This window comes from Homo sapiens, chromosome 10 (assembly GCF_000001405.40).
Source record: "Homo sapiens chromosome 10, GRCh38.p14 Primary Assembly".
Lineage (NCBI taxonomy): Eukaryota > Metazoa > Chordata > Mammalia > Primates > Hominidae > Homo > Homo sapiens.
Window position 1 is genome coordinate 42578629 of NC_000010.11, and position 10292 is coordinate 42588920.

At 47.4% G+C, this 10292-nt stretch overlaps 1 protein-coding gene across 4 annotated transcripts in view; it reads right to left on the reverse strand.

The window, feature by feature from the left end:
- The window catches only part of ZNF33B (zinc finger protein 33B), a 64402-nt gene that overhangs the window by 4460 nt on the left and 49650 nt on the right, over positions 1-10292 (reverse strand). For 3 of the 4 annotated variants that reach the window (NR_130950.2, NR_130949.2, NR_130948.2), the window contains one exon: positions 2959-4495. The exons of the other annotated variant lie outside the window; for it this stretch is intronic. The gene's annotated coding sequence lies outside the window, so the exon portion shown is untranslated. Of the gene's footprint in view, positions 1-2958; positions 4496-10292 lie in introns of those variants that run through there. 4 annotated transcript variants of the gene reach the window in all.

Here is a 10292-nt window from a genome sequence, read left to right on the forward strand (position 1 = left end):
CCATGGCAAGAGGGACGGGATCCCTGATCACTACTCAGGCTCCAGGTCTGAGGCTGACCACTCCTTAACCACCTCTAACATCCAGTCCCAGGACAAAGCTGACTGTATCTGTGGTGTATCTCACAGCACTGCAATGCCATGTGAATGAAGCACAGTGACCCAGATGAATGGAGATGTGGGACAAAAACTGTTTTCTCCACTACGAAGGCTGCCACACAGCTCTCAGAAAATGTCTGGTGTCATAAATTCTAGGAAATGTTGGCGGATTTTTTGTTGTTCCTGTTGTTTCCTTTTCAATTTTACAAGGAGTGACATAGATGCATTCTGATTCCTGCCAAGAGTTCCCTGGGAACCAGTTTGCTACACAGATCTTCAGTAATGCTGCAAATATTACAACAGATCTTGACACCCCTGCTGGTCATTGTCTCTGCACGGGGGATGCAAGGCCATTCACTCTCCTCTTCAGATATAAACACTGGGACTCAGCTACATGCCACCCTCCTACCACATCATGGTTCATCCTAATGACCACCCTTTGAAGATAACACCTTTATCTTTTTTTGACAATTTTAAAAACAATTTCTATTTTTATCTTAAGATTCAGGGGGTACATGTGCAGTTTTGTTATGTGGGTATACTGTGTGATGCTGAGGCTTGGGGAACGATTGATTCTGTTATTCATGTAGTGAGCATAGAGCGCAACAGGTAGTTTTTCAACCCTTGCCCTATGTATGTTTAACCCAGAAAGTCCAAATTTGGTTTTCACATTTTGAAACTAATGTTTCATTCAATGTCCCCTTTTGCAACTGGTTTCTGAGTTGTTTGTGTGTAATGTTATGAATGGCATGAGATTCGGTTTTTGGTGTGGATCTCTGGATGAAGGCTATCACCCTTTCTAATCTGTGCAATGCCCTGTGCCCAGTTAATCATGGAGTGTGCATCCAAAAAGTACAAACACAGAGTGACCACTGGGACTCAACACCTTCAACCTGGTATCAATAGAAGGTCTGTATCTGCATCACAGATGTGAATCCACAACAAATCCTTCCCATGGCTTTGACCCATTTCTCTATACCAGGCTCTCTCCCAAGAGAATTTCAACAAAGAATTGTTTTGAACTCAAGTCAAAAAGATGCCCTTCAAGCATTGTTTAAGCAGAACTCCTACCCTGGCATACCAACCAGAGAGCAACTGGCCAAAGAAATCGGCAGTCTGGAGTCTAGGATACAGGTGGGCTTGTATTTCCATTTCATTTCCTTGGAGTCAAAGAAAAAAGACAAGCTGGACTAAGCAGTCTCCAATCATACCATGTTAAGAATGAACTGAAAACTAAGACCCCTATCTCTGCCTTTTACCAATCGTGGAAAATGTGGTCTGGTGTATTCACTGATGGAGGAAGGAAGTTAAATTGGGCCTTTCTCCTGGTAGGAGGAAATTAAATCATATTTGCATGCTCTAGAGAATATAGGTAATATGGTCACCATGATCATGATAAGTTGTCATTGATACCTGGCACCAATATTATAGAATGCTCAGATAATAGGTAATATTGAGGACGGTGAGGTCAGGGCTGCCATAAAGTCCCGTTTCTCATCCCATGGTTTTTGTTTCTTTTCTACTGTTTTGTTTTGAGACAGAGTCTCACTCTGTCACCCAGGCTGGAGTGCAGTGATGCAATCTCAGCTCACTGCAACCTCCACCTCCCAGGTTCAAGCCATTCTCATCCCCTACCCTCCCAAGTAGCTGGGATTACAGGTATGTGCCACATCTGGCTAATTTTTGTATTTTTAGTAGAGATGGGGTTTTGCCATGTTGGCCAGGCTGGTCTTGAACTCCTGGCCTCAAGTGATCCCCCCACCTTGGCCTCCCAAAGTGCTGGGGTTACAGGAGTGAGCCACTGTGCCTCGCCTCTACTAAGTGTTTTTATGTGGGCTTTACACACTGGAGAGTTTAGTGCCTGATCCCATTTTGGAATATTTTGAGTGGAAAAATGGATATAAAAATAAAAGTGTCTGGGAGCGGTGGCTCATGCCTGTAATCCCAGCACTTTGGGAGGCTGAGGTGGGTGGATCATGAGGCCAGGAGTTCAAGACCAGCCTGGCCAAGATGGTGAGACCCCGTCTCTACTAAAAACACAAAAATTACCCAGGTATGGTAGTGGGACCCTGTGGCAGAGAATTGCTTGAACCCAGGAGGCAGAGGTTGCAGTGAGCTAAGATCGCGCCACTGCACTCCAGCCTGGGTAACAGAGCGAGACTGTCTCAATAAATAAATAAATAAATAAATAATAAAATAAAATAAAACCATTCTGTTTCTCCAGTTAAGAAATAGCTGGAAAGATCACAATCACACCAGGAGAAGTGTATCCAGACTGTCAACAACTAAGTAAAAGGGACTCTGTTGAAGAAAAGCCTACGGTCAGGGTTTTATATCAAATGCTATAATCCTGAGTAAGCCCTGGGATACAGGGATCTGAGTTTCAGGCAGGCCAAGTGAAGACGTATTTCCTTTTCTTTATGCACCCAGTCCAGGTGTCAGAGTGCTACATCAAATCCAAGAATGAAAGTGTGGCCCGGGCTGGGGGCAGTGGTTCATGTTGGTAATCCCAGCGCTTTTGGAGGTTGAGGCAGGAGTTCGAGACCAGCCTGGCCAACATGGTGAAACCTCGTTACTAAAAATACAAAAATTAGCCAGGCGTGGTGGTATCTGCCTGTAATCCCAACTACTCGGGAGGCTGAGACAGGAGAATCACTTGAACCCAGGAGGTGGAGGTTGCAGTGAGCCCAGATCGCACCATTGCACTCCAGCCTGGGCAATAAGAGTGAAAATCTGTCTCAAAAAAAAAAAAAAAAAAAAAAAAAGTGTGTCCACGGGAAGACATGGAGATTGGCTGGAGCACTGGCAACCAGCCCACTGGAATTGATGGTGCCGAAGGAAAGCACAAGAAACCATGTAGAATGAGGTTGGATCCGCCAGGGTGTTCACTAATGTATTTGTTGCCCCCACATTTCCAGCCATGTTTAAGACTTCTTTCCTGATCATATTTGAAGTGACATATTGAGAGAATAGATGAAACAGTTTTACAAACTGCCTGGGACATAAGAGCAGGTCAACAGGTATTGCTTGTCTTTTAGGATAGAATCCTTATTGTGAGTTATCAAGTCCCCACATGAAACACTAAGAAATGATTAAAAGCACATTCCTGGCTGAGCATGGTGGCTCACGCCTGTAATCTCAGCACTTTAGGAGGCCGAGGCAGGTGGATCACCCAAGGTCAGGAGTTCAAGACCAGCCTGGCCAACATGGTGAAACCCCGTCTCTACACAAAATACAAAAATTAGCCAGGGCATGATGGTGCATGCCTGTAATCCCAGCTACTCAGGAGGCTAAGGCAGGAGAATTGCTTGAACCCGGGAGGCAGAGGTTGCAGTGAGCCGAGACCGCACCATTGTACTTCAGCCTGGGCATTGCAGCGACACTCTGTCTCAAAACAAACAAACAAAAATCTGCATTCCTCTATGCCCTCCAGTAAGAAGGAGGCAGCCACAGGGTTTGATTATGACAGTCACAGTCTATTCAGAGTTAGGTTTTTGGCTCATAGGAGTCTCCTTATCTAGTACTGTGTCTGGAATGAATGAACTCTGGGGTATATACGAATGATTCCAGGCTCAGCAGTAAGTACTGGTAATTAGTGAGCTCCTCTTTAAGTGAATTTTGATCAGAGGTCCCTTCACATGGATTGTGTGTTATGAAATGCCTTTGATTATGGGGAGATGACAGAGAGCCAAGGAAAGTCAGTCAGTCCTTGACCAAAGCCTTTGTGAGACCTAAAGAGTGAGAGGGAGGCAGAAAGAGCAAGTGAGCATGAGACAAAAACAACTGTAGGGTGGGGAAGAGGTGAAGGAAGAGTGGACACACACCCATCGGCCAGCTCTGGCTTTAGGATGCTAGCCAGTGTCTCCTAACCCAGGGACCTTTCCTTTGGAGACCACAGATGGGACAGAGAAGGAAGTGATTCTTGGTGTTGAGCTCAAATAGATACTTAAAATTATGTAGACTAAATCGGATAAAACTTGAATCTTCTTTTCCCACTTAGATTTGGTTTCAAAACCAGATAGGACACCTGAGGCTGAGCTGGCTGCAGTGTGGACGCTCCTCGGGAGGACAGCAGCTCCAAGGACACGAGAAGCCTCAGCCCTGGGCCCCAGGTGAGTCCCCAGCAGTGCCAGTGCACTTCCTCAGTGCATCTCTTTGAAGTAGAAACGTCTCTTTAGGCTGTTTCCAAATTTGTTGCAGAGAATGCTGATGTCTCTTCCACAGCACGCCAGTGTTGGAGATGTGACCACCATCCCCACCTCATGGGAAGGTAGTTTGGAAGAAGGGAAGGCCATTGATCTTCCAGTCCTGGTGTGGCAGGCAGTGCAGAGTCCTCTTCTTCCAGCACTGCAAGGGTTTAATCCAAGGTCCAGGATCAGTGCATGAACACCTCAGGGGCCTGGGAGGGAGTAAGCATGGTGAGAACAATATTTGAAAATGTCTGTCTTAGGGTTGATGTGAAGATGGCCTGAAAGCCCTCTTTTCTTGTGTTTTCCTACAGAATGCTTAACCAAAGGAGGGAGACAAAAGTGATGCCATCACTAAACCACAGACAGGTGTCCTCCTTCAAGCTTTTCAGAGGAACCGATTCCCTGGAACTGCCATCAAGGAAGAGCTGGCAAAACAAACAGGCATTCCAGAATCCAGAATCTAGGTAAGTTTTCTGTCTGTGGTGCACAATTTGTCCCATAAATTTGGAAGTGGTATTGCCCGCTGAGATGGTACTAGATAAATGGGAGCTGGTATCTTCAAAGAAGTTGAGAGTTCTTTGTTATGAGGGTGCTGTCATGTGTCTTATTCGTCTTATGTCATATGTGCCTTATGTCTTATGTGACCTTTATCTCCATCCCAGGCTTCTAGGCACTAGACACCAGTATAGACCTTGCCCCTCAACTAACCCCCAGGTGTGATAATCTAATAGTCTATGGTCTCCACTTTTGTGGGAAAATCTTGCCATTCTAGCAAATCAATGTGGCATCCATTCACGGGCCAGTGCAATACTTCCCTTAACTCGTCCATATTTTGCAGACTAAATGTACAGACAGAATCACCGAGATAAAGCCCAACAGATGTCACTTCTGCCTCACAGATGAGGGAATGAAGCTGGAACCTCTTACGTCTTCTGACATCCTTGTTTCCCTTTCTCTTAGATGTGGGCTCAGAACTGAAGAGCTCAGCCCCCAGGCCAGAGCAGAGGCAGCCCCGTGAATTCCCTGGCAGCCCCAGCCACAGAACTCACCCTACTGCTCAGCTGCAGCACAGCAACCTGTGCATTGCGCAAGCAGCTCTGCGCACAGGCCTCCCTCCAACTCCCCCAGCAGCCATTGGTCATCTGTACCAGCCCTTCCTCCACTAAGCAGGTCTGTGGAGGCTGTGTGAGCCAGGCACCAAGGGCCATCCTGCACCAGTCCACCTGAGTTGTGCCAGGAGATCTCTCCTCTCAGGACCCATGTGTCAACAGGACCAACTCTTGGAGGGGTACTCTCACCCACTTAGTCTCGTTTCTGGAATGTGTACCAAGGAAATTGCCAGAATGACAAGGACAGTGACAGCACTAGCCTGGGAGTTCTGCCCTTCAAGGACACTACTCAGCCTCCTTCTGGTCATCCTGAGCAAGGATCGCAACAACAAGGTCTGCAAGACACAGCCCACCTTAGGCAATGGTGGCCATGAGCAGCCCCAGGGTGTGGTGGTCAAATTGCCACCTGGGGACAGGGTGCTGCTCCACAACGTGCTCACATGGACACACCTGCAGCAGCCTAGGGCATGGCCAAGCAAGGGGCCACCCCTTTCCTTTGAGCTTTTTTTTTTTTTGAGACAGAGTTTCGCTCTTTCTCCCAGGCTGGAGTGCAATGGCACCATCTCGGCTCACTGCAACCTCCACCTCCTGGGTTCAACTGATTCTCCTGCCTCAGCCTCCCGAGTAGCTGGGATTACAGGCACCCACCACCATGTCCTGCTAAATTTTGTATTTTTAGTAGAGACAGGGTTTTACCATGTTGGCCAAGCTGGTCTCAAACTCCTGACCTCAGGCGATCCACCCACCTTGGCCTCCCAAAGTGCTGGGACTACAGGCGTGAGCCATTGTGCCTGGCCTCACCTCATCCCTTTTAGATGAACTCCTGACAACCTCAGAGTTTCAGAAATCACCATCATCAGTTAGGATTAGGACAGGAGAACCCTCCATGGCCTGCAGCCAGGAAGAGTTTCAGGCTCTGCTCGATGCCCTGCAGAGCTCACTAGGGCTTCGGGTTTAGGAGGGAGAAGGAGTCTTTCTCACCATCCCATCTGGCTCCTCCTCACGATGAAGTAGTAGTGTGACCCACAGGAGGATAAACAAGGGGAGACACCATGTCCTGGGACAAGACTAATGCAAGAGGAAACTGACCACTTGGAAACCCAAAAGGAGCATCTTTTCTCTGCCTTGTGGACACCACTTTAGTCTCTGGCCTCACTTCATGGCCTACGTGATTGTTTCTAAGCTCCACACTGTCCTGCAGGCACCACGGACACCAGGCAGTGGATACCTTTGCTGAATCCTAAGGAGCCAAAGTGTTTTTATAATGAACACGACCTCCTTCCTGTGATCGTCACATCCTGGGCAGTCTGGACAATGCACAAACTAGAACTGAACCAAGGTGAAAATAGGTAAAAGAGACACATCCACACTTCACTACCTTTGATGAGTTCACAGGGTGAGCCTGAAGACAGGCTAATGCAGAGAAAATGGGGGTGCTATATTTCATCTTGATGTCGGTTCACCACAAAGGGTTTGCATCTTAGTTCTTACTGGAGGAGATGGGAACTAGAAGTTATCTCACTATCTATCTACCAATGATTGATAACACCAGCTTAGATGCATAATACTGATAATGAATAGTGTTCACATGTAATCCTCCCTTTAAACATGTAGACAGAGAACATGACAAGGAAATGCAAAACAGCAACTCCATGAAATCACTGAACAAAGCAGGATATTCATCTTCTGACACTGTTAGCATTATGTATATATTTACATGTACCTTGCTGCCCTTTTTGTTATAAATAAATTTTTTGGCAAGTTTAAGCCTCTTGGTTGTCTTTGTCTGTGTCTCCTCTCTTCCATTCAAGTGGTACCCATGGATTACCAAGCTATGTCTGCTTCCATTGGTGCCTTAAAACTATCCTTAAAAAGGAAATGTGATTTATCAAGATGGCTGTCTTTCCCACAATTATTTCATTCATTTGTGCTGTCTCTTTCCATGTGAACCTGTGGGACCAGAGTCAGGATGCCTTGCTCTAGTTCATAGCTTGAATCTGCAGATGCCAGTCTGTTATTACTACACACAGACACAGATGCATTTTGCTTTACGGTTTCTCTAGGGTGTGCATACTCCAAACCCACTGTTTACTTCCAGATGATCGGCACAGGATAATTTTCCTCAGATTTTTTTTTTTTTTTTTTTTTGAGACGGAGTCTCGCTCTGTCATCCAGGCTGGAGTGCAGTGGCACCATCTCAGCTCACTGCAAGCTCCGCCTCCCAGGTTCACGCCATTCTCCTGCCTCAGCCTCCCGAGTAGCTCGGGCTACAGGTGCCTGCCACCACGCCTGGCTTTTTGTATTTTTAGTAGAGACGGGGTTTCACCGTGTTAGCCAGGATGGTCTCGATCTCCTGACCTCATGATCTGCCTGCCTCATCCTCCCAGAGTGCTGGGATTACAGGCATGAGCCACAGCACCCAGCCTTTTGTTTTTCAAAGAGACGAAGTCTCACTCTGTCACCCAGGCTGGAGTGCAGTGGCACCACCGTAGCTCACTGCAGCCTTGAATTCCCGGGCTCAATCCAACCTTCAGATTAACTATTAACTGGGGTATTATAAATCTCTCTCCCAGCCCCACCTCACATACACATAGGCTGCATGCAAACACACACACACAGTCATAATAGTCTCACAGTTTCCCCTGAAAATAATCTGACAAATGTCTTAAGCAGCATTGGGACCATGCCATTAGGTGTTGAGTTTGATTTTTTCAGTAGCCTCCCAACATATTCCTCATGTGCAGAGATGAGAGTGTAGCATGGCCAAATGCCAAATTTCCAAGAGACATTTTGTCTTCATCCATTTGTGTGAACCATGTACTATAACAAACCACCTGAGACTAGGTCGTTTATAAGCAATAGAAATTTACCTCTCACATCTCTGGAGGCAGGGAAGTCCAAGATGAAAGTGCCAAGATGAAAGGTGAGTATCCAGTAGGGACAAGGTCTCGGCTTCCAAGGCAGCCCCTCCTTGCTGTTTCCTCTTGAGGGGAGTGACACTGGGCCCTCACATGTCAGAAAGGAGAGGGGCAAAAAGGGCCTAGTGTGTTCTCTCCAGCTGGCTCCTAAGATCACTAATCATTCATGAGGTGGAGTTCTCATGACCTTACCACCTCCCAAAGGCCAAACCTTTGCAAGCTGTTGCACTGAGGATTCAGTTTCAACATGACTTGCTTTTTGTTTTGTTTTGTTTTGAGATGGAGTCTTGCTCTCTTGCCCAAGCTGGAGTGCAGTGGCGCCAACTTGGCTCACTGCAACATCCGCCTCCTGGATTCAAGTGATTCTCCTGCCTTAGCCTCCTGAGTAGCTGGGATTACAGGTGCCCACAACACCCAGCTAATTTTTGTATTTTTAGTAGAGACGGGGTTTCACCATATTGGCCAGGCTGATCTTGAACTCCTGACCTCAAGTGATCCTCCCGCCCCAGCCTCCCAAAATGCTGGGACTTGTGCTTGGCCTCCCAAAGTGCTGGGATTTGTTCTTGGCTTCTCAAAGTGCTGCGATTTGTTGAGCCACTGCACCTGGCCTCAACATGACTTTTGGAGGGGACACAAACACTCAAAGCACAGTGGATGTCACAGTCACTCTCCCTATGATAATGGTAATGTCATATATTCTGTGGCTCAGGTGCAGGCCATCAGGCCCCGTGATTCCAAAATTCACCCTGTGGCATGTTGGCAAGTATCAGTGCCAGGCCATGCTCAGGCACACTGGCGAGGGTTTTGTATTGGGAGAGCAGAAGAGTTACTTCCTCTGGTAATCTGGGGAGAACTGGTACCTTTTTCTCTTCTCATCAGCACCTGGACCATGGGCCACCATGCATGTGCATCTTGACATTCTTAGGGGTCAGGAAATCATGTGTAGTGGCAGCAAGTGAAGGCGCAGCACAGGGTGCAGGTACTACCCCTCCTGAATGCCTCCTTAGGCAACTGGAGTGCCACACTCACCTCTCTCAGTTGTCTCCTGCCTTTCCACAAACCTCACAATAGGCCATCTGCATGCACAACCCAGGGGTGTGCAATAACAAACAATAGTCTATAGGGATGTTCCATGCAGCCAGTGATAATCAGAGAGCTCCAGCCAGTCCTTTGGAAAGTGGGGCTCAAGTGCTGATCAGTTTGTGTGCAGTGTGGTCACTACCTTTACAGGTGGGAGCCTCAGAGACCACCTGCCAAACAGGCTGAGCCCAAGTCAAGTCATGCAGGGATACAGCCAATGGGAGAGCACTCTTGTCCTGCACACAAGAGCATTTTAGGATGGGAAGAGATGTGACACTCACCTCCCCTAAGAAAAGTGCATTACAGCACAGGCCAAGTGCAAACCTGCCAGCAACTGGTGGTTCTGTCCAAGAAGCCTTTGCCATAATATGGAACCTGTCAGTTAGCCAAGAGCAGTTAGTTAAAATTGGACTAGACGACCCTGGCTTTGGATGGGCCATCCTGTTTATGCCAGTGGTTGTAACTGCTTCCTTTTCACCCTGATGGTGAAGATGGGATTCCCCACTCTGATGCTATAGAAAGGTTGAACACTGAATACCCGACACTGGACAGATAAGATCTAGGTGAGTTTGTCAGTCACACCAACTCTCAGAAAGGTGAGGAGGACACCACATGCCGGGCAGAGCCACAAAGGGTTCCACTTGGGAGCAAAGTGGAAAAGAAGGGGTTGTAGTGAGCAGCTGTACTATCCAGAGAGTACAGTGACCACTGTTTGCTGTGGGAGGATGTGAGGGGTTTGGTGAATAATTCCAAGAGCTGGTAGGGAAGCAGATCTTACTGCTTAGGAATAAGCAGGAACTGTGCCTGGCCCCCCTGACAGGGAGGACTGTCTGCTAAGGTACCTCACCTGTGGAAGCAGAGTGGGGATGGAAACGAGTTTAGGTCATTTGAGGTCCTTT